Raw genomic sequence first — 24459 nt, 5'->3', positions numbered from 1 at the left:
GTTGGGATAGCACGGCTCATTACTTCAACCATTCTTTCACTAATATCTTTAGAATCAATTCAAACGTAGACTTCTGTATTTCTGTGACCAATCTGTTGAGCTCAGCTGGAAAAAAAAGTCAGCTTTCAGATTGACGCAACTATATAAATCTGCAGTCCTCAATCTCAAATAGGCCATCAACGTGGCTCAACCTCCTACTCATTCTTGCTTAGCTTGCTCTTATTTTACTAAGCAATGTTACCAAACTGTCATATTGCTCAAGAGCCCAAACAAGGCTACATCCTTCTCTGCAGATGACATCATTTTCTACTTCAATAAGAGAATTATACATACATTATCCCAATATTGTTCCCCTCCCCTTCTTAGATATGCCTGGACCTGTCCTTGTGCACTTTCTTTCAATGACAGGATGAGGTATTCTTACTCCAGGTCAAGATCCTGCCCTGCCCTCCACACATGGCCCCCCTTTTCAGCACTCCCAGGACCGAGCTCCATTAATTATCCCCTTTACTTCCTAAATCTTTAAATTCTCAGTGCCTATTTACTCTTTCCTCTAAGCCCAGAAACCCATTTAAATCTTTTATCAAATGAATTTTTTTTTCTTTTTGCTTCTTGAACCTGGGTTGCACCCCAGAAACCATACCCTTCCTTCTCTTCTAAGGCAAGTGACTTGAAAGAGAGGTTTGTGCTAACCCTTCTCAACTTTCTTACCCTACCCATTTACTTTAAAACAAGACACAATGTCATTCTGCCCTGGCCACTGGACTGAAACTTCTCTGATGAGACACCAGTGAACTCCATAATGCCACACCTGAGGAAAATGTATCAATTCTCTCCTCTCATTTTTTCTTATTTCTCTGTTTTTTCCTTTCCAGTCTCCCTCATGGGTTCCTTGTCTTTTGTTTGCTTCTTAAATGTCTGTATTACTCAAGGCTTCACCCATGGTAATTTGTTCATTCTATATATTCTCCTTGTGCAATTTCATTTGCTCTTGATTTTAAACACCACTGATATGGGGTGACTTCCAAATCTGTATTTCCAGCCCAGATTACCTCCCATCACCTTCCATGTTTATTTACCTGGATAGCCTGCCTGCAAGGACTTAAACCCAACATATCATTCAGTCTTTTTTTTTTTTTTCCCCCAAAAACATAGTTTTTCAGGACCTACTTCATACTACTATTCAACAGTAAACAAGACAGCAAAACAGGTCCTTTATCTTAATCCCTGTTTCTCACTCGTACCCCTAAGTACAATTTAGGCTACAATAAGACCAAACTTTCTGTAGTTTGCCATTTTTTTGTTCAAAGAAGGTTAAACACTGAGGGCGTATGAACATACTACTCTCCCAGCCTGGAATTCCCTTCCCATGTTCTTTTCAATTCTTAAGACTTTAGGAGAAGTCTCATCCTCCAAGGTACCTTCCCTAAATTGCCACGTAAGGCTAGGTGCCCTTGATCACTGCCTTTACTAGAATGTGCTAAAACTATCTCTTTGTACATGTTTTCCCCAAGGATCCCTAAGGCAGAGATTGTATCTCTCTGTGAACAGCATACTGCTTGGTACATGAGTAATACATGTTTGAGATTGCCCAAGTAGATGTGCTGAAGTACTGTGATGCTTTTCTGACACTCCCACATACCGTTGCACTTATCTATTTGTAAATCCTACTCCTTCTCCTTGCTAATACCAGGTTAACTTTCCTGAGCATGTTGTGTCTCTTTCATTCTCCACATCACTCAAAATCATGTATATAAAAGGCACTCAAGGAGTATTGGTTGAATTGAGGTGAAATAAACAGATAAAACACTCCACATCTACATTTCTATTTCTGGGATCCATTAGTGTCATTCTGTAGCTCTGAGCTAAGATTTCTCAGGTGTCTTTCAGCTACTACCAAGGCCCAAAGAACGTTATCAAAAAATGTCCAGACTGTTCTTCAATCTCTGCATGTGTCGTGAGAGACCATTCCAATTGCATATGTGGGATTTCCCATCCAGGTGTAGGGACTCACCATATTCCTCAATTCACAAAACAAGGAGCCAGGAGGGGACTCTTAGTGGAACAAAAAATTCAGTTGACCCACTGGATCACTATGTACCATATTTCTTCCTGCAATGCATTAAATTCAGGCTCTTATGGCCTAAGTTCATTTCCAAAAAGTGAACACTTCTATTTACTCTTCACGAGAAGCTTCTCTCTCAATGCATGTAAAGTGCTTTGAGCTCTCTGTGAAAGGAATGATGTAAACACAAGGCATTATTACCAACACTATCCTCTAAATAACCTCATGAGGTAAGTATTAATATCAGAGGGACTATTATTTTACAGGCAGAGAAATCAGCTGATTTGCTCAAAGTCAGAGGTGGGGCTAAGAGCCAAGAACACATTCCAAGAGTCCTTTGCTTATTATATCCATTGCCAGACCTAATCCAAGCTTTTCAGAAAGTTCTTCTTAGAGTGTGAAGAGAGTCTGAGAACTTTATCCTTTCTTTTTCAGACTGTTCTTGCCCCATATCCTTTCCCTCTCTTATCATTTCTTCTCAATAGGGATCCAAAAGAGAATGCAATGATCACCTAACAGCCATCCAATCCCCCACCTGTATAGCATGTGGGGCAGTACAGAGGTTCAGTCAGGCATACTCCATCTATTTTCACCCAGACTTTACAATCCAGGCTGCTCGGAGTTCTGCCAGCTTGAGTTAGTTCAGTTCGAGTAAATCTCTAAGTCGTTCAAGTACGGCATGCTCTGTTGAATTAATTTTCTTCAGTTACGTCTTGTATACGTGGCCCATATAACTTTACAGAGATCCTGCTCACCAAATGATTTTTCAAATCTGACACACTACATTTATTAGAATGATTCTATTTTCATCCACCTAGTTTTAAAATCTGCTAGAGTTTGAAGGTTGAAAATGCCATGTAAATGTGGCATCTTAAATCAAACTGTATATACAGAGCGAAGGGTTCTGAGTAACAGTAATAATAGTTGTCCTACTTGTTGAATGTTTATAAAGTTAATTGTTAGTGATGAGTGAACTCAGTCTAAGTCTCCGTACTATTTTGACGGGGCTCTGCACAAAAACAATCATTTCTGGGGAAGGAGAAATCTTCTAGACTGAATTATATCTAGTTCTAACCTCTAAAACTATATATAGCCGAAAAAAAAAATCTATCCATCAATTTTCTGGAAGGGTTCAGGCTTCAGATGGAGCAGTGGGGCTATGAAAGAAACAGAAAGGAAGGGCTACTGGTGGTGGAGGCTGCTTTGCCCCAGGAGATCTGCCTGGAGTTGACCATTTCAACTTCCAGCCATGACAAGCTCCCATGCCCAGCCTCTGCAGCCTGCTTAGGTTCCTTCCCAAACTCCTCCCAAGTTAAGAAACAACTTATCTAAGGAATTACTCACCTACAAGTTGTGAACATTTTATTTACCTTTCCTAAGAGATATTGTGAGAGAGATATCCCTGTAAATATCACTTTCTGTGTTACAACACTGTTGTGCTGTACCCCTATTAACCTCAGCAGGGAAGGCACTAGGTTCAAGAGGCTGAAGAAAAGACCCAGAGGCAGCAAATGAGACATGGGGTTTACTAGGGGCTTACATATGGGGAGAGAGTGGAGAACTGGTGGCAGGCGGGACAGGAGAACTGCCTTATGTACAGAAATGGTCCAGTGGCGGCAGGCTGGACAACATGACTGCATGGCCAGTGGCTGCGGGCTGGGCAGGAAAACTGCAACTGCTTGCAAACAGCATGCAGTTTATAAAGCATTTTCATTTAACACCCTCCCCCTAATGACCTCCATCTGGTAACCTTCATTTAACCTAAAACTCAGGGCCTTAATCCCCAATAAGCCCATGTTCCACAGGATGAGCAGGGGGCTCAGATATTTATCATAGTAAGGAATGAATCTCCGAGTTGGCCATTCCTGGATTCCCTACCTTGGAACACACATTCAGGTGCACTGGCCATACATGGTCATTCTAAGGGTATGCTTAAATTGCTGCTATCAGGTATGTTTACCCTACAAACAAACAAATGAAGAAAAGTATCTGGAAGAAATTCAGAGATAGCTACAAATTTAACATTTATCTCAATTCCAAAGGTCTGGAAAATCAGTCATGACCTTGAAGAACATGCTGGTACATCCACAGAGTACACTACGCCAGAAGCAGCACATGCCATAGCACCTGACTGGGCAACAGAGAGAAATGTGACAGCCTGCACCAGTAAGAACACAGGCCAACCTTTCATTCTTGATAAAAAATTATAAAACTCCCACATATACAAAGAACACAGGAAAGAAAGTCATAAACCACTTGGACTCAAAGGAAAAATACCTGACTCATATATTTGTTTCACAATTTAAGCACATATCCCTCATCTCACAGTGGGGACTAAGTGATATGCTTGGCTAGTAGGATTAACATTGCTTCAGAAAACATTTTCCTGGACCAATGTAATCTTTCAAGGTAATTACTAGAAAATAACACTTGTAAATTTCCTTTAAAACTTTATAAGGTATCATAATTTATTTACAGATACAGCAGTATCTAAGTATATCAGGTACTTCAAGAAATACAATGAAAAGGATCATGTTTCTTTTTGGTTTGAAGAACAATTTTTATACAGAGTCTTAAAGCCTGGGAAACTATTGTATCTGTGCACTATGGGACTGATGTTCAAGTGATCTAATATTAACTTAGGAAAGAGTTTTTCCACAGTTACAGGGAGCATAGTAGATGAGAGGTGTGTGAAGGTATGATCCCCCTTGGGTAGCCTGGAGGTTTCTGGGCATTAGTCTCCTAGGGGACCTCTTTCTTCGGCTGCCCTCCAAAGCCTCCTTTGTTTACCATACTGTTCTAGACAAATATTCCCAGCTTCTCTGTGAGCCATATTGAGAAACAGGTTGGGAAGCTCTAGCTTAGGAAACACATTTCCTTTTGGCCCTAGACACACAGAGAAGATCACTACAAGAACCTGATTCAATGTCAGAGTGATATGGTGCAAAGAACAGAGTGAGGAATGAGATTTGGGTTTTGGCACAGGCTTTCTCACTACCTAGCTCTGAGCCCTGAGCAGATCACTTACCTGTCAGGACCTTGACTGCCTCACTATAATGTAAGTGGTTTGGCCTTGATCCTGTTTAAGGACCCATCCTAAACATCACCTAGCCCAGTACAAGGCATATGGTACTCAAGAGACTTAGAAATCCCTAAGTCTCTGAGTACCATATGCCTTGTACTGGGCTAGGGAGAAACTAGACACAGACACTGTCCCTATTCTCATGGAACCTGTAACCTAGCTAGAGGTAAGATCATTAATCAAGATAAATATTGATAAATAAAAATTAAATCTAACTGAAGCGTAATGGATTTGGAAGATAGAATTATCACTGCTTATAAAAACTCAATGTACTTCCTACTGAGCATATAAGTCTATAGGGTAAATCTGCACCACAGAACGAGTCTATGCCCTCTGTTTTTATTTAATCACATAACAATTATTATGTTCAAATATTCAAACATGGGCTTGAAGATTATAAAGTCATGTGAAATCAGCTTCACCTTGGTTGTACCTGGGAGCTCCTGCCTGGCCTACTGATCATTTTCGTTATGACACATTTTAATTAAGTCATTAACAAATGGATGTGGCTGGGCGCGGTGGCTCACACCTGTAATCCCAGGACTTTGGGAGGCTGAGGCAGGCAGATCACAAGATGAGGAGTTCAAGACCAGCTTGGCCAACATGGTGAAACCCTGTCTCTGCTAAAAATACAAAAATTAGCTGAGCATGGTGGCGTGTGCCTGTAATCCCCAGCTACTCAGGAAGCTGAGACAGGAGAATTGCTCGAACCAGGACCCTGGAGGCGAGGCTGCAGTGAACCGAGATCACGCCACTGCACTCCAGCCTGGGCTACAGAGCGACACTCCGTCTAAAAAAAAAGAAAAAAAAAATGGATGCATATTCAGGTAACACCATCAAGGCAAAGAGGAGTGCTAAAAGTCTTCTCTGACACAAAATGTAAATATCCCGCTCAATCAACATTCTTTCTTATCCTTCTAATACTTTCAAGCAGTTGCTCCCACTTCACTTCTTTTTGGACCCACAGAGACCGTCAGCCCCTTACTTCTGTGCTATATCCTTATATAACAGCCCACTCTTATTTTTACTTCTTTTCCTATATAGCACAGGCTCCACGGATCATGACTTCAAACTTTCTCTTATTTATCTTCATCCCTTCTGTTCCCAAGAAGCACTTACCTGCATATATCCACCACATGGGATCAGTCAACACTAGGGTAAAATCACTGCTAGTGGAAAACCACACACTATTCTGGGGCAACTATACCTTCATGGTTGCTAGCATTAAGTGGCTTGATTTGGAAAGGTTTCCCTAAGAGTAAGAGCATTTCGAACTTTCTCTGGTGCACTGTTATCCTAATTATTTTACCCTCTGTAGGCAGGCTAAACCCTCTTTGACAGTGGCAGAAGGCAGGGAGAGAAACTAAGGCTGCAAGCAACCTCAACGGCTGGTAAAACCCAGGCTAGCTCCTAAAATCCATCAAGAGAGCAATCTCTTCCATGCAGCAATGCCTGTGAGTAACATGTGAAATATGGATGAATACTTGCTTTATTTATCTCGGCCATGAACATTCCAGTGAGTATGTAGTTGTGACCATAAACAGCAGGCTACAGCCATTGTCTTAAGGCACCCTCAGAGTACTTCATCTATGACTTAAATCTTTCCCAATTTGTTCTTAGGGGCTGCAGCCAAATCCTAGCTCTCCCACTTAGCTTTCTAACTTTTGGGAAGTTATTTAAACTAACTGTATCTGAGGATAATACCTACCTCATAGAGTTAATGTGGACATTCTATTTCTTACTGTAACAGGACCAGGCCTACAGTGCTATATGTGTTTGTTGCTGTTGTTGTTGTTATTATTAATTATAATCCTGTGTATAAAAGCCACCAAAGTTTCTCACAGTCATAAGAATGTTAAAACAATATTATCTCTTCCTCTTCTTTCTCCAAACATATTGTTGCTGGAGAAATGGTCATGCTACTGAAAGAGCTATATCTGTCTAACCCTAATGACTGAATATATCCTTTCTCTAACAACAAAAGATAATATACAAAATATTCCAAAACCTAAATGACCTCATGCAGAACCTTTTATGTTGCCCATAGTAATTATGTTCCCAAGAGAACAATAAATATCCTTCCTGATGAGGACTGCCCATCATCTTCCACTCTCCCATCACATGCGACCTCATCTTCCCACTGTTAGCCCTGGTTTCTGCCCTAGCATTTCTGCATCTGTTTTCCCCACTCCTCACCTCCCACTTAGTGCCTCAACCACAATGAACCACCCTCACTTCCCTGAACTCACCACGCATCCCCTCACCTTCAGCCTTTCCAGCAAGCCAGTCCTTCCTGGAATACCTTCCTCTCCTCATTCATCTCGCTTCCTTGGGTAACTCATAGTACTCTTCAGGACTTTGCTTGTGTGGTGTGTCCTGCAGAAAAATTTCCCCGACATCCCTAACCCCCAATCAGCAAGGCTAAATTTGGGGCCCCTATAATAGCCCTTGCCACTCTGCTATTAATAGATCAGAAGTTCCTGAAGGGCAGGAATCACAGACTACTTGGTCCCTCAGTGCTTCCCTAGTTTCTAGCTGTGTCTAATGCATACCCGGTTTGTGCTCTACAAATGTACAAACGAACTATGACATAAGAAAATAGGTTGGCAGACCTAAAGATGTTTGACATCTAGAAAGGGGGAAAGGCAAGATCGGTGTCATTATCTTTAAATATCTACAAATGTCTTGGAAGGAGAAGAATATTCTTAAAAAATTTTTTTTAGACTAAATCACTTATAAAAGAATATTCTAAGTAGCTTCAAAAAGAGGCACCAGGGCCAAAGGTATCGGTTCCCAGGAGCCTTTCCAGCTCCCCAAAATAATATGGCAAAGAATGTCCTAAAATGTAAAACATGGGATACTTTGACCAGTATTCAGCTGCACGTCACTGGATGGGTTCACACATGGGCTGGCAAAATGAACTACATAATGCCTGTCTCCTTGCAAAGTTAAGATTCTGATGAATTAAATTATACTTCTGGGCTCCTGGGTATGCATATATAGCATAAGAGTCATTGTAGATACATAAAGGGATGATCAAAGGTTACATTTTAAGGTATATATATAAGCTTGCCACCCCATGGAGTATTGGGGTTAAAAAAATACTCAGAGGATTTCAAACAAAACAAAACAAAATAATCCAACCCACAAACCCAGCATTCCAACACAGGGGATAACACCTGCAAGAGGCAAGTCCGGATCCCCTCGGGCATTCTCCGCACCACCTCCCTCATCCTGGAAGAGGCAATTTAACTTTACAACTTTCAAGAAACTTCCTATTAGAAGTGGTTTCCAACTTTAGATTTATTGCATTTTCCAAGGTTACGTCATTTGGGCTGTGCATAATCCAGAGGGACTCAAGGGGCACACTGTAAACTGTGACAATAAATATTAACGAATATGTTCCTGATAAAACCTGCGATCTGCACACACGCATGCACACACCCACACAAAAAGGGACTTTTCACCTTATATGGTTACTTTTAAAAATAGACTCTTTTTACATTTCACTTTGTTGGTCTGCCAAACACACAGAGTACATTTACTTTAGAAACACCAATTAAAAATATTAACAACGCAAAAATATATAACCAGAGCTTTAGAGCCAAGGGCACATAAATTAACAGTATTCAATTCAGACAGTAAGTAAACATAAAATCAATAACAGAAAATACTACTTCATACAAAGGAAAGCAAGAACAATAGCCCTGAAAGTGAAAGTGTTCCTCCCCTCAATCCCAGTACCAGGACTCTGGACTCCCCTACTTCTCCCCTACCTTGAGATGTCAATCTAATGATTAGGAAGCAGGTAAAAAGACTGTAGGAGGGAGGGATAGAAGAAGATGCTAAAGAATGATTTGGGCAAGACCTACAGGAGGTGAGGAGGGAGATTATTTCACTTCACGCTGTAATCTTTTATATTCCTAATCAGAATGTTGCTTCTACTAGTGTTCAAAATCTTTGATTTTTCCCCTGTGGGTAGGGACAAACACTTGGGCTGCCTAATTGAGGAGCAGCTGTGGTAAAGAGGGCTGGGCTGGGAGTTACAGTGTTTGATCTGACATCCAGGTTCTGCCACTTAACTTTTTGGAGCCCTCGTTTTCCTCATCTGTAAAATGGGGATCCTAAAACCTACCTCATAGTGTTGTTGAGAGGAATAACAAAAACTAGGTGTGTAAAGGTGGCTACTCTAACTAGAAAAACACACAGAAACTGCCGTTTCCAAGATGTCAAACATCTTGGAGAGAAAAGAACTACTTCTCTCCGGTACTTGGCAGGTTGTGAGCTACCACTAATTTTTCAATGTTAAACTTAACCCAGGTCGGGATGGAGCCAATCGTTATAACATTGAGAGGCATAATGCTATACACACTTTAGACAATTTATAAATGAAGGAGGGAGGCAGGAAAGGAGGAAAGGTGAAAGGAACAGCTAGGCCTAACTCCCATCTTTTTTTCTGCAAGTGACAGATGTTAGCCATCTGAATGCATTGAATGCATCTCCTTTGTACAATGGGAGTGGTCTGAGTTTTAGTCCTACTACACTGAGTGGGCTGGGGGGCTCAGTCAAGAACCATGCTCATAATCTTACTGTTGGGTAATTCTAAAAAAATTACATTAGTACAATCCCTTCCTTTAATTGTTTTCTATACAATTATCCCATGTCCTCTGGGAGCTAATGTGATAATCCAGTGGAGACTCATTATTGCTCTATTTATTGGAGTCTGTTAGAAAATAAGCATCTTTATTACAACTAATTTTGTTCCATCTCTAAAAGGCTATAGCATTTTGGTCTACAGATTACTAAATTCAATTTATCAGACTGCTAAAGAAATTATACACGTGGAAAACTAAGGCTCAGAAAATTGATACAACCCATGTAATGAATTAGAGCTACACACAAATTAAATGACTTAATTCCTCTTCTTTTTAATATTTATATAGAAAATAAAATATTTAAAGTTTGAGGAAAATGGCCAGGCCCGGTGGCTCACGCCTGTAATCCCAGCACTTTGGGAGTCTGAGTCAGGCAGATCACAAGAGGACAGGAGTTCGAGACCAGCCTGGCCAGCATGGCGAAACCCCGCCTCTGCTAAAAATACAAAAATTAGCTGGGCACAGTGCTGCACATCTGTAATCCCAACTACTCAGGAGGCTGAGGCATGAGAATCACTTGTAACCTGGGAGTTGGAGGTTGCAGTGAGCTGAAGTTGTGCCACTATACTCTAACCTGGGCAAGAGAGTGAGACTCTGCCTCAAAAAATAAAATAAAAATAAAGTTTGGGAAAAATGGAAACTACTTGAACATTTACACAATGAATTTTTTTTAAATTACCATCATATCCTGATGTGTTTTCAAATTCTGTTACATTTATAACCTATTTCAATAATTTATCGGATTAAAAAAATGAAGGAACAAATAGTTACCAAGGCATGATAATTTGCTGTTTTTACACACAAGAATCCAGTGGTATAGAGCTCATTATTTCCATTTTAGAGACAAGAAAACTTGCTTAGAGACAACTAATAGCTTCCCACTGCCTAAGTGTAAAGCCAAAATTCTTTAAGATGCCAAACTAGTACAGCTATCTCCAGTTCATTTTGACATCTCCTCTGGTCCCTTCTCTGCCTGTTCCACTACATCACCAGCCTCTCCAAAACCTCAAGCTCTAGCCCCATGATCCACACTGCTGTTCCCTGAAGGAGCCCTGCTGGCTCATGCCTCTATGCCTCACACTGCCTGCTCTGCCCCCAGCTCTCTTCTTCTCCTGCAAGAGTACCAAGATTCAAACCAAGCTTCACTGGAAGTGTATTCTGAAATGTTGTCTAATTCTACTAACCGTAGACCCATGTGACCATTTCCCCGTGGAATTCCTCCTACCCTTCTGTGGCACATACATGTTATAATTCTTGTTGGCTCTCAAATGTCTCCTTTCTTTGCATGGTCCTTGAAAGGTGGGCCTGAGTGCTATGTAAGCACTTTCCTGCTGGGCTCAGTCACACACTGCCCACTGTAGCAGCTTTTTCATGGCTGGCATTAACAGGCCCTAGTTCTCTCTCTTCATGGCTCTGCTCAAGCCGTGGCAGTTAAAAATAGACCCTGGGTGGCTGGTTATTTTCCCTTTCTGTTACTGTTCTCTTAAATTCAAACTAAACCTCCATGTTACCTTCAAATAATAATAATAATAATAATAATAATAATAATAATAATAATAATAATGCATGCAGGGCTTAATACCTAGGTGATGGGTTGATAGCTGCAGCAAACCACCACGGCACAGATTCACCTATGTAACAAACCTGCACATCCTGCACATGTATCCTGGAAATTAAAATTAAATTAATTTAAATTGAAAAAAAAAAAGAAGTGACATTTCTGAGCCCATTGAGCCTTTATATAAACATATGAATATCCAGCCCTAATAACTAAAAAGAGGCTATCTTGGAAAATGCTTTGTGATGTGCTGTTTCATATCACTGAAAGAAACCTGTGTTTTCATTAAACAGGTTCCAAACACAGGTTTTGTTGAATCTAAAAAATGACATTTCAGCTGTTATTAGGCCTATATTAAGAACATACAAATATCCAGGCCTAAGAACTAAAAACAAGCTATGTGTGAAAAAGCTTTGTGATGTGCTGCTTTATATCACTGAATGGAACCTGTGTTTTCATTAAACAAGTTCCAAACAAACACACACACCAAAAAAAAAAAAAAAAAAAAAAAAAAAAGAAAGAAAGAAAAGAGAAAAGGAGAAGTGCCAAGTAACTACTGATTAGCTTAATTTCCAGTCTGACGGCTGAACTACTCTGCAGAGGTTCATAGGAGGCCCCAGAGGGTGAAAATTCCAACTGTTTACGGTATTAAAGAAGTGATTAAGAGCACTGTTTTGTTCCTTAAAAGATGTCTGATGATATTACCACACAGAAACCTAATGAGGATCTTTCATGTCTCTCTCTCTATATATATATACACACATATGTGTAGATACATAATTTTGTGTTAGCATTTCAAAAATATCACAACTATTTGTGAAAAAAACAACATTCTGGCTTCAAGTCTTGGTTGGGTTGGCTTTCTTCAACTAAATACTTTCTGTTAATGCTTAGAATATGTGGAAATCAGAATTCTTAAGAATAGCTGCTATGCATACAATGCATGTGGTTCATTCGCTGCTGTTACTACTTTCCATGCTTTATCACCGGCTTGGCCCTTTCACTGCCAAATCAGATCACCCTGATGAATGTTTTGTCACTCCTCTACTTCATACAGTATTTTTTTTGCTGTATATCAAATAAAAAATAAATGTACAAACATAAACACAAGTATTTTTATTCTTACAGTATGTTAAGCAGGGTTAAGAGGAGGTACAAAATAGCATCAAGATTTCTAGCTTGGGCAGCTGGGAAAAAGACAGCATTATTAAATCCAGCTAGAGCCCTGGACAGAAATAGGTAGGAAGACCTCTTTAAGAAGAGGTTCCTGGATTTGGAAATTAGGAAGCCATTGGTGAGGGCAGAAGCTGGACTGTAAGTCGGGGGTGGGAAATTAGGAGATGAGTACAATGAATTCAGGCAATGTGAAGATGGAAGAGAAACTGGCAGAGTGGGGAGCAGGGAAAGGGAGATTTTATTAGAAAGTGGGACCACTGGGCGTGTTATAAAGTTGTGGAAAAAGAACCAATAGTGAGAAAGAAACTACAGCTACAGAAGGGAAGGGGGTATTTGATGGGCAAGATTTAAGAGGCGATGCTTATGATCCAAAGCTTACATGGAGGTGGCTGGGCGCGGGGGCTCACGCCTTTAATCCCAGCACTTTGGAAGGCCGAGGCAGGTGGATCATCTGAGGTCAGGAATTCGAGACTAGCCTGGCCAACGTGGTGAAACCCCATCTATAATCTCATCATTAGCCGAGTGTGGTAGTGGGTGCCTGTAATCCCAGCTACTAGGGAGGCTGAGACACAAGAATCACTTGAACCTAGGAGGCGTAGTTTGCAGTGAGCCAAGATCATGCCAGGGCACTCCAGCCTAGGTGACAGAGCAAAAGTCCATCTCACAAAAACAAACAAAGCTTAGATGGAGGGGACAGAATCGGAAACCAAGAGCAATACTTCCAAAGACAGGAAAAGGAGAACATGTGTAAAGATGTGAAGAGGTGTTGGGGGCAGAGGAAGGAAAGCAACAAAGAAGAAAGGTGAGGAAGGTGAAGGTGTTTGTGAAGGGTGAGAGTGGTTAAGGAATAAGTGGAAGAAAGGGCATGAAAAGAGTGTTAAAGCTTTGGAATCATGGCTTAGCAATGAGACAGAGGCAATAAGGAATGAATAAATCTATTATTGACAGGACCCATTTGAAGCTGGAAACTTAAAAACGTGTCAGTCAATGAACACTTACTGAATAACTCTGAAGTGGCAGGCACCTTACAACCTAGCCAAGGACTCCAAGGTCAAGTCCGGGAGTTAGGCAAGTAAATACGTCATAACAATGTGGTAAGCGCTATGTAAGAAGTCTACATAGGTTATATGGGAGAACAGAGAAGATGCGTTTAATTCAAGGGTGGGATGGGATGTAGTTTCCTGGAGGGGGAATATCTGTAATCTGTGAAAATGGAGAACAGGCCATTCGAAATTCCATCTTATTTCCTTCCAGGATACACTAATGTGGAAGGAAGGTACATGACCATACTCTATGTAAAATCAAGCAATTAAATACATTGGCACTGAAGGATCTTCATCATCAATGCTCCAGGAAGTTATTTCATTATCATCAAAGAGTTTGATAGGCAAGACTAACGGAGCTCCAGGAAAATATGATTAATTTTTTTCACAGTCTTTCACAAGTAAAAAAGTGTCTGGCTTTGGCTGTATATCTTGTTAGAGTTCTCAAGCATTGCTGGGAACTGTTCTGAGGAACTGGCTTCCTGATTCAACTTGGGCCACTAAATTCCGGTTTAATAATTACTTCTATTATCCCCCAGAGCCAAGCACAAAGCAAATATTTTCTTAAATGCCTTCGCTAAAAAAATCAATTATCTAGCCTTTGTTTTCATCTTTTAAAAATGTTGTAGGTATCTTTCCATGAGAAACAAATATTCCGTAGGTCTCTGTTTATACTCCTTGTCATTTACAACTCTGAAAATCAAAGTCTTTACTAAGTTTTGCTAATAGCTCTGTTCCATCCTCTGTGTGAGCATGCCACTTTATTACTACAGAGAAGACTTGAGTTCTGACCTGCAGGTTCTTAATAGAAAAAACAGCACCCCATTGCTAGAATGATACAGCCATAGAATTGAAAGGGGCCTTGAAACCACTTGTGTAATCACTTAGGTGATGAAAGACAAATTACCCAGCACTTGATCTAATTTTCTGTTTTAAGTGAGAGAAGATACCCTTTCATTTACCATTATATAATGGAATCTTTGTAAGAGGCAAAACAGATGAGAGGAGAATGGCAGGATTTTTCTATTCAAAGTGATTTTGCCTTTGCTAACATTTATTGTGGGCTTATTTTATGCCAGACGTGGTGCTTAGCACTTCAATTATTTCATTTTACCCTAACAATAATCCTAACAGTCTGTTGTGACTTTTTTTTTTCTTTTTTTTTGAGACAGAGTCTTGCTCTGTGGCTCAGGCTGGAGTGCAGTGGTGTGATCTCAGCTCACTGCAATCTCCACCTCCCGGGTTCAAGCGATTCTCCTGCCTCAGCCTCCTGAGTAGCTGGGATTACAGGTGGGCACCACCATGCTTGGCTAATTTTTGTATTTTTAGTAGAGACGGGGTTTCACCATGTTGGTCAGGCTGGTCTCGAACTCCTGACCTTAAGTAATCCACCTGCCTCCACCTCCCAAAGTGCTGGGATTACAGGTGTGAGCCACTGTGCCCAGCCCAGTTATTCTTATTTTATAATGAGGAAATTGAGGCTTAGAGAAACTGAGAGTCAAACAGAGGTTGAGTTCTTTTTCTGGTTTTGCCATTAACTGATGAGTGACTGTCATCAAGTTTCCTAATGTCCCTTGTTTGTGTTAAACTGGGAGCCATTATGATACCTATCTCACAGTGTGGCTGGATTATTATGTGAGATACTGGCCCAAAGTGTGTCTAGCATGAATATTATACTCCCTCTTGGCAGCAGGATGGGGTATCAGAGAGAACCTGGGCTGTGGAATTAGATGACCTGGGCTCAAAGCCCAGCTCTACTATTTCTTAGCTATGTGATGTTGGGCATGGACTTCAGCTTCCTGATCTTCAAGTTTGTCACCTGTGAAATATGAAGACCAATATTTGTACCTCACAGTTACTGAAGTGTTAAGTGAGATGAGCCCTCATACAGCTTGCTTAGCCTAAGGCTGCTACAAACTGAGATGCCACCACCTTCTCCTCCTTGAGGGTCACATGTACAACAAGGTAACTCTCTTAAGGGTGCAACAAAAATAAGGAATGCAACTTCTAAGAAGACTGCAGGGGAGCTTTAAGAGACTTACAATGTGGGAAGAGAGGCACTGGTCAACCACAGAGCAGGTCAGTGTGGGAGGTATGCCTTGGTGCCTTCTGCCTCCAGCATGGGCAGACTATTTGTGGATCAAGGAAGACAGGATTCCTCATGAAAGGGCACAACTGAATAAGCTAGCTAATTGCCTATGTGGACTGTTTGGGCAGTTCTCTGTCAGTATAGACTGAGTTTCTAGGAAAGGCCATCACTGTGGTTTCATTATCTATGAAAAGCACATTCCAGTAGAAATGACAAGTAATCAGTGTTTCAAATATATTTATAGCATCTTCCTATTAGCAAGACAATAGGAACAGCCCTCACAAAGTCATCTTAGAAAAGACTGGTTGGATTTTATTGAATTCTTTAAAAATGCAAGGATTTAGGACCCCATTCAAAGGTAAAATGGTCCAACGTGGCATGAAATAGAGACAGATCAACTGCCACCTTCCTAGGACATAATAATTATACAACTCCAGTCCAGACAAAGTGACATAAAGGCATCTGTACCTCAAACTGCACCCTCAGAACCTCTGCACTACTTCACTTCCTTAGAATTTCATTGGTTATCTGATTTCTCAGTCTAAGAAATTCTACTTCCTTAGAATTTCATTGGTTTGCCCTATGTCTAGAAGCAAAAACTAGACATAGGGTAGAAGGTAGAAGCAGGTCAGAGGAACAAAGAAACGATTGGTTATAGCTTAACCAATAACTTAACCAATATAAATAAATGATTGTTGACAACACAGAGGAAGTAGAAAATGAAATACAAAAAGATAATATTATTTAATACTTCATATGCTGTTTATATACATAGCATTGACCTTTAAGTATGCAGCTAAGTATGAATTACTTTAAAATATATTTTTATCAAGATGACAATTTTTAAAAAAGTTCTGGCACTTGATAGAGAAAAGGAACAGTCATGAGAAAATCCACCTTCAGAGACCACTCAGTTCAGTGACAAAAACCAAATCAATGAGAGGCTATATTCTGGGTTATTTCCAAAACTATCTACAATCCATTGCCCATTTTGGGGGTATACCTCTATAGCATTCTTTTTTTCATTATGCAGAAAAACAATCCAACATATAAAGATTGAAATTATCCTTAACTAATTCAAATAAAATCTGTAAGACACGTTTTCTTGTGTTTCTTCTTAGGAATATTCATGAGCAATTTAATAATAACTGTTTCTGTTTTTTCCCTTCTTCACTCAAAGCTAGTAAACTATAGATATTATTTAAAAATATAGGGTAGAAAGAGGAAATTCATGCTTCTTGAACAGTGCTCTCTTTCTCTCTGTGTGTATGTGTTTAAAAGCCGTGTATCTATGCCTATAAGAACCAAAGCATAGTGTTTTCTAGCACCAGAAGTTTAATAAACTGAGAATGTAAATGATCCATTCCTTGTGGCTTCTATTCCACAATGACTAAGCCAACCATGAATGAACTCCACACAGATCCTGAATTCTTTACACTGGTTCTCAGAGTTGGAATTTTTGGGGCTGGGGTAGGATCAGCCAGAAAATTATTCTGTTTCCTCAACTTGAACAGACATAATGACTGGCAGAAGAACAGCTGAGGAAAATGTTTGAATTGTATAGTGATAATTTGCTCATTATGAAAATACCTTAGATGTCTAGCTTAAGCCAAAATAATCCAATTGAAACTGCCCTAATTTGATTTAGGAGACAAATTTTGTGATCAGAGACTATATCAGATCTCAAATAGAAATTGACCCTTATTCCCCTTATTAAGTCAACGAAAAAAAAAAACACATCTATAGGAGACTGTGGTCTGTGCGACTCTTAACAACCTCTGGTGATGCCTGTGCCAAATCTATATATTCTCTTTAACAGCTTCAGAGTTGGCCCTAGGTCACATGTGCAGTTACATATGGTCCACTGGAATAAACAGTAATTTTTAAAATAAATTTCAACTAAGGGTGTGGGGGCAGGTATTCTTGCAGATTGACTTACTTATAGGTTCTCTCACTATTACTTCAGAACCTCATCTAAGGCAAGGGTCAGCAAAATATGGCTGTTTTGTAAATAAAGCTTTATTGGAACATAGCCACAGCCATTCACATGTATATCATTCCATAGCTGCTTTCTGGAAAGATAGAGTTTGAGTAGTTGTGGCAGAAACTGCAAAACCTAAAATATTTACTGTTTGGCTCCTTACTGAAAGAGTTTGCTGACCCATGATCTAAGGGTACCTATTGGGTCAATTAGTCACTGGATGTCATTAGGGAAGAGACATAAGGTGGCCAAGCCCAACATAGTGGGGACTGTGTATATGTGGTGGGGGAGGTGGTCAGGCAGCAATGATGGTACAAAAACACTTGCTTCATCACTATTTCTCATCTTTCTTAGTCTACTATCTCACAGAGTTGCAAATACATGAGCTCTACTAGGTCAAGTCCAAGCGATTTTTACCAGGGAGACTGGACTAAAACAAAATCTCATCATTTGATGACTTTCAAGACAACCTCATTCATTCAATCATTCATTCATTCGACAGAGTACATACTATGCGCAAGGTATCCGTGAGCAAACAGACCACGTCCTGTACCCACAGGACTAAGGGTTCAGTGGGGGAGGTTGAAATTCTTTAGATAATAATATAGATGTAAGTAAAATAGCTACTGTAATTACTGGTAGAAGAAGGAGGTCTTAGTGCTACTAGAGTGTATAATGTGGTTATGAAGTCAGGGAGGACTTCTCCAGGAAGTATCAGCTGAGGGCTGAAGGCTAAGTGGGAGTTAGCTGAGTGAACAGCTGAGGGAAGAGGCCCAAGCAGTGAGCACAGCACAGGCAAAGGCCTATGAGTGAGAGAGAAAATAGTTAAGTGTAAGTGACTTAACTCAAGGCCAGCACGTTAGGTGCAGAAAGAGTGACAAAGGGAGGGGCATGAGGTGAAACTGTGGGCCAAACCAAGCAGGGCTTGGATCCCTCTTAACAAGTTTTGAGTTATTCCAAGGGCAGAGTCAAACCCAATAATCCCTGGGTGACAGCCTTCCCCTCCCTCCAGCTACTACTGTCTCCGTGATCAGTTTTTCTCTCTTTCTTTCTCTCTCTCTCTCTTTATTTTTACTCTCCTTTTAATCTTGGGCCAAATACATAGCTCTGTTTTGAATATTTACCTAAGTCTCCAGCACCATATTCAATGAGCACAAAGCAAAAGGAAAACATAACAAAGAATTTAACACACAGCTTTTTCTGAATATATGAAACGTGTAAAGAGAATCGTGGGCTGCCTCCATTCCTCTTTCTGTCTGGGGAGGCGAATATTGGAAATGGTGAGTGGGGATAGTCATACAGCCATGGGCCACTTCCTGCTGGGAACAGCACATTTTAAAACTTCAAGTATACTATCCGATGAATGAAATTTTGTAGCTGAAAAGGAAGGAAAGTCACCAGGGGAGACTAGTGAAAACGGAAGATAATATAAAGAAGTGAAAAAATCTCAGGAATAGGACATGTGCATCATGGCCCTGCCACTTATTAACTTTGTGGCTTTGGGCAACTTACTTAACTTTTCTAAGTTCTGATTTCCCTACCCATAGAAATAAGAATAATCAGGCATCCATCACAGAATTGTTAGGATTAAATGAGATGCTGTAAAAATTTCTAACATTTAGTAAGAGCTCTGGTATAACTATCATCCTTTTCCAGTAATATAGTCTATTTCCGATACATAGCATGGACACAGAGAAACCAGGGCAAGTGGCAAGAGAAAATATAGATAAGGAAGTAAATAAGAAAAAAGTCCTATCTACAGTTACAGTAGGTGGCTCCTTGTGCTTTATAAACTTTACCTACTTTTGTTCTCTAACCTAATGGTTCCAAGTGACTAAGTGACACCTTAAAATGACCTTGTCCCCAATCCTCCTTAGCAGGTAGCCAAAAATACATATAAAGTCGAAGGTAGAAGCATACCTTTGATTATGAAAGTAAAGGTTATTCTGGGAAATAATTAATGATATCCAAGAATATGTATAAAGCAGCAACAGAACAACTCAGCCTGATACCTCCCTAACACACACACAGCTGATTAAGAATGTCCTTGGTAATAATTGTGATGGATTTTAAGGAAAATATGAACAAATCAAAGAATTATTTCTACATGTAAGTCTCATTCTGATTCTCAGAACTTAGAAGACCAAAAAGTAAAAATTCTACTTTAGATACATAATGGCTAAAAGAACCACTACAAATATTTCATTGTGCAACTCTAATCACCTTTTAAGTGTTGTTGTACCTTTCTGATTAGGAAATTATAACATAAGCACCATGCACTTCTTTGTCTTTCTTAGGAAAATATTAAGTACTTTGAAATACAGCCATGTTAGTGCCCTGAGAAAGATTCCAAGGTTGCTATAGAATTGTTTGTTTTTCCTTCTTTCAACTGATAAAACGTACTGCGAGTAAAATTGCCTGTTGAAAGGTGGGACTATACGTGGAAGCACAGACAGTTATGCATTCCTGACTTCCTCAAGTAAAGAACTACTATACAACTGACTTTTTAGACAGAGCTGAAGAACAAAAATCCTAAGTATATTTAAATATTTAACCAAGAAGCCAGTTGCCAACTATGGAGGGTTTTATTTAAATTTAGCTTATTAAAAACAAACAAACTGAATCATACAAATATGTCAAAATAAAAATTGAGGAAACCAGCCTAAAGTTTTTTTGTAGGCCTAGCCTCAGCATTTTTAGAACCAGGAGGTTACAAGGCAAGTTTTTCTTTAGTTATAATCTTAACAATAAATCACTCTGGCTACTTGCTCACAGATTTTTGGGAACTTTATCCTGCTTTCACATTTATGAAATATTCCTCCCAATTTTTTTTGGAATTTACTCACCAAAATTTATGTCAGGTGGCATTCAACTAACAGCTGTATGCTAGGAAATAAAATGGCTAAAGGATTCTGGATATATCTTGAAAGAATTGGCCACATTTTTAAGACCACACAGTTATGCAAAAAGACCCCTCATAGTATGGATGTGTGCTGGTTACAGTGTGCAGTTTACAATGAGGGTGTCCAGTCTCTAAGTCCTGCTGAGAGGGAGTGGGGCAAATCAATCTCCAGATCCTTCCAACCCTGATGATGTCTTATGATTCTGAGGCTCTCTTCTTTCTTCTCTTTTTCTTTCCTTTCTCTTTTTCTTTCCTTCCTTCCTTTTCCTCTTTTTTCCTTTCCTTCCCTTCCACTTCCCTTTCCCTTCCTCTCCCTTTCTCTCTCCTTTCTCCTCTTCTTCTTCCTCTTTCCCTTCCCTTCCCCTCTTTCTTTCTCCCTCCTCCTCCTCCTTCCTCTCTCTCTCCCTTCCCCTCCCCTCTCTTTCTCTCTCCCTCCTTTCTTCTCCTTCGCCTTCTCCTTCTTCTCCCCCTCCCCCTCCCTTCCCCTCCCCCTTCTCAGGCTGAAGTGCAGTGATGATATAATCATGGCTCACTGTAACCTCCAATTCTTGGACTTAGGTGATCCTGATCCTTCTGCCTCAGCCTCACGAGTAGATGGGACTACAGGTGTGCATCACCCTACCGAGCTAATTTTTTTTCTTTCTTATTTTTACTTAATTTTTAAAAAATTTTTTAATTTTTTTATTTTTTTGGAGAGACAGTCTCACTATGTTGCTAAGGCTGATCTCAAACTCCGGGGCTCAAGTGATCGGGTGTGAGACACCATGCCTGGCCTGAGACTCTCTTTTCTAAACAAACTTTGGTTCTTCTCTCCATGTCCTATACCATGCAATGTTTTAGTTTTTGGTATACTGTTTGGTAACCATGTTTCTAATGCACTACTGTTAACTACTTATTTTTTGGACATAAGACAGCATTAAAATGATGACATACTCTATAAATCAGAAACAGAATGTTATAGCTTTAGAATAAAAAATACTTATTATCTTACCACCACCATTGTCTACACAGCTCTGCTTTTAATTTTGTTTGAAATATGCTCTACAGGTCTGATTCTCATATTTTTTATTCAAGTCTATATGATGAGGTAATCTGTAAATATAATAACAGCTTCCTCCATGAAAGGAAAAAATGTGCAAATAAATGTCCTATTGTTAAAGATGAATTATTTGGACAAATATTCTAAATTCTTATTTCATTTTCAAATTCTCAACTTTCAGGGCCTAGAAAGGTAGTATAGTGGTCTACCCCAGCAGTATACATGCCTTCTATTTTTCTTTTTACCTTATTAAAAGTATTCAAAACAATTTTATATTTTTATTTGGTAAGGGAAAAAGAATTTAGAGGGGAGGTAGAATAATGATTATGAGTTGCGATTAAATCCTGCAGCCACTGTCATCATGACTTTAAAACAACGAACAGATATTTTTCTCAGCCGAGGACAGTTCTCATGGACTCCTGCCAGTTTTGTGAAGTCCAGACAAAGTCAAGGTTCCTTTTTAGCTCTGGGTCCCTTCTGGATCCATAGGGAAAAGGCCACTAAGGTGAAGGGGGTGGGGCAGGAAGGACTGGAGAGTGGTTAACTAAATATCCAATAATAGGAGAATGGTTACATAAATAATGGCACCTCCATACAATGAAATACTATGTAGCTATCAAATATCATGGTATGGAAGATTTATGACAATAGCTAATGTTCCCTAAACAATATGTATAGTATAACAGATACAAAGATAAGAAAGTCTATGGGAAACTATACAAAAGGTCAAGGGTATAAATCTCTGCGTGGTTGAATTAAAGGTAAATTTTAAAAATTCTTTGTGCCTGCTTCCCCATTTTTCAGTGCTGAATATATTATTACTTTTTTTTTTTTTTTTTTTTGAGACAGAGTCTTGCTCTGTCGCCCAGGCTGGAGTGCAGTGGCACAATCTCAGCTCATTGCAACCTCTACCTCCCAGCTGCAAGTGATTCTCCCTGCCTCAGCCTCCCGAGTATCTGGGATTACAGGTGCCTGCCACCACGCCCCGCTAATTTTTGTATTTTTTTAGTAGAGGCGGGGTTTTGCCATGTTGGCCAGGCTGGTCTTGAACTCCAGACCTCAGGAGATCCGCCCACCTCTGTTAGCACCTGTGCAACAAATGACTGTATCCTTGATGGAGACAGTGCCTATTGGCAATTTGGTACTTTGTAGTATAGAGCCAGCAAATCACTACTTTAAATACTGCAGCCAACATACTGGAAGAAGCAGTCCCTACTAAAGGCTAAAAATAAGAATACTGTGGATTCAGGCCTCCAGATGTAGCCACCACCACGTTAAACTACAATCATCCCTCAAATACCTTCAAGTAATTATGATGTGCATGGTAACTTGTACTGAAGAGAGTGGGTTAGATGCATAAAGTCTTAACACTAAAAAAAATGGCATCATTTGCTTTTTTCAGATTAACAGTCTGTAAGACCAAATGCCTTCAGCCCATTCTTTAGCTGCAGCTACATCAACAGGGCAGTTCTGATACAGACATGAAATCATTTGTGTCAGAAAACACTACCAAAAGGTTCAATAATAAGAAAGCAGTCTTTTGTTTAGCAGCCACACAGAAAAGACCTTTGGATACTGCTTACACACCCTTTCTAGGATGAAAACTCCTTTTCCGTAACAAAAAATTTCCAAATTCTCCATTGATAGTTGTAGCTTTTTCTATTCATTGACTGAGTGAAGACATAGTTATAAAAGCCTATAACAAATTCAGAAAACTTTAAAGCAGCTTATAAGCTATCAATCACAATAGTATCCAGGGCTATTCTGAAGATGTAATAGACATACCCAATTTTTTAAAATGCTTTTGCTATATGGATTGCAGGGCCCCTTTTGTCAACTCTGAAAGCTCCCAGGAGTTCTGGGCTTACAGGTTGAGAATGACTATCATAAAGCATATATTATCTGATGAACCAAGACCATAATTTCAAGAACTTTATCTTTTTATTGGTTATTACTAGAAATACATCTACCAACTGTCTGTATGCACACACTCACAAAAGAGCTGCTAGGCAGAGGATATGAAAACAGCTATGAATGAGTTGCACGCTGTGGACACAAAAGCATGTGTGGCACTTCTAAGCCCAAGGGCTTCTCCCACTGGCTCTGTGACAAGAGGTTTCGCATAAGAGGTGGGAACGTGAGAGCCCTGACAGGGTTTCTCTTTTTAAAAAAATTGGGGTTAAAGTTGACTTCTCTTTCCTTATGAAGGCTTCCTGTGTCAACAGGCTGCCAGCCCCCAACCCCTAGCAAAAACAGTGGCTGCTCCTAAATGCCAAAATAATTGTCTGGGTTTTGCATGCTGAAATTGACTTGGCAGGCTCTCTACCTTGCAAGGAACACAAAGAGCTTAGTTTAGTCTGTGTGTAAATGCTTCATAATCATTGCTAAAACATCCAAAGCAACATGCTTAAGGGAGAGTAATGATTCTTTGTTTCCCTCCTTAATTGTAAGCTTCTGACATCCATTTATTTACTTACAGTTCCTAGCAGCAGCCACCCTCCTTAGTCAACACGCACTCTTGGCTGCCCTGGGTGCTTTCTAACAAAGGGCTATATGGAACCACACACAGTGGGTGGAACCCCCAAGCTCAATCTATCCCCATTACCACAGACCTCAGAGAGTCTGAGGTCCAGATCTACGCAACAAGGCTGGGAAGCAGTCTGGGTAAGCCAACCTCACCTCATGAGGGAGTATGGGGAAAGCACTCCTTCGTAGCGATGAGTGGGACTTTGGAAAGGGTGGAGATGGCCCTTCTTAGAGGAAGACATGAGAAGAAACCTTTTATCAGTCTGAAGAACCCAGGACTTAACCCGAACTCATAGGGTCTAGTCACAGCCACATGACCACCAAAAAGCATCAGGGAGAGCAC

The 24459-nt window shown here is 40.0% G+C and overlaps 2 protein-coding genes, 1 long non-coding RNA gene and 1 other non-coding gene across 7 annotated transcripts in view, besides 1 other annotated feature; 2 read left to right on the top strand and 2 right to left on the bottom strand.

Moving 5' to 3' along the window:
* Positions 1-24459, bottom strand: part of CMSS1 (cms1 ribosomal small subunit homolog) — a 363871-nt gene that overhangs the window by 212163 nt on the left and 127249 nt on the right. The window lies entirely within an intron of this gene.
* LOC105374010 (uncharacterized) overlaps positions 1-24459 on the bottom strand; it is a 223532-nt gene that overhangs the window by 71824 nt on the left and 127249 nt on the right. The window lies entirely within an intron of this gene.
* Positions 1-24459, top strand: part of FILIP1L (filamin A interacting protein 1 like) — a 285691-nt gene that overhangs the window by 144932 nt on the left and 116300 nt on the right. The window lies entirely within an intron of this gene.
* MIR3921 (microRNA 3921) lies at positions 5172-5256 on the top strand. Its single transcript, NR_037486.1, has one exon. It is a non-coding gene; the product is annotated as a microRNA 3921 (primary transcript).
* Positions 20158-20358: a silencer, noted in NCBI's record as "peak4749 fragment used in MPRA reporter construct". NCBI's record gives its function as "represses an SCP1 promoter by STARR-seq MPRAs in K562 erythroleukemia cells {active_cell/tissue: K562}" and the evidence as "EXISTENCE:reporter gene assay evidence [ECO:0000049][PMID:32103011]".

Source organism: Homo sapiens, chromosome 3 (assembly GCF_000001405.40).
Source record: "Homo sapiens chromosome 3, GRCh38.p14 Primary Assembly".
NCBI lineage: Eukaryota > Metazoa > Chordata > Mammalia > Primates > Hominidae > Homo > Homo sapiens.
Note: the sequence above shows the minus strand (reverse complement) of the source record. Positions and strands in the feature narration are given on the sequence as shown.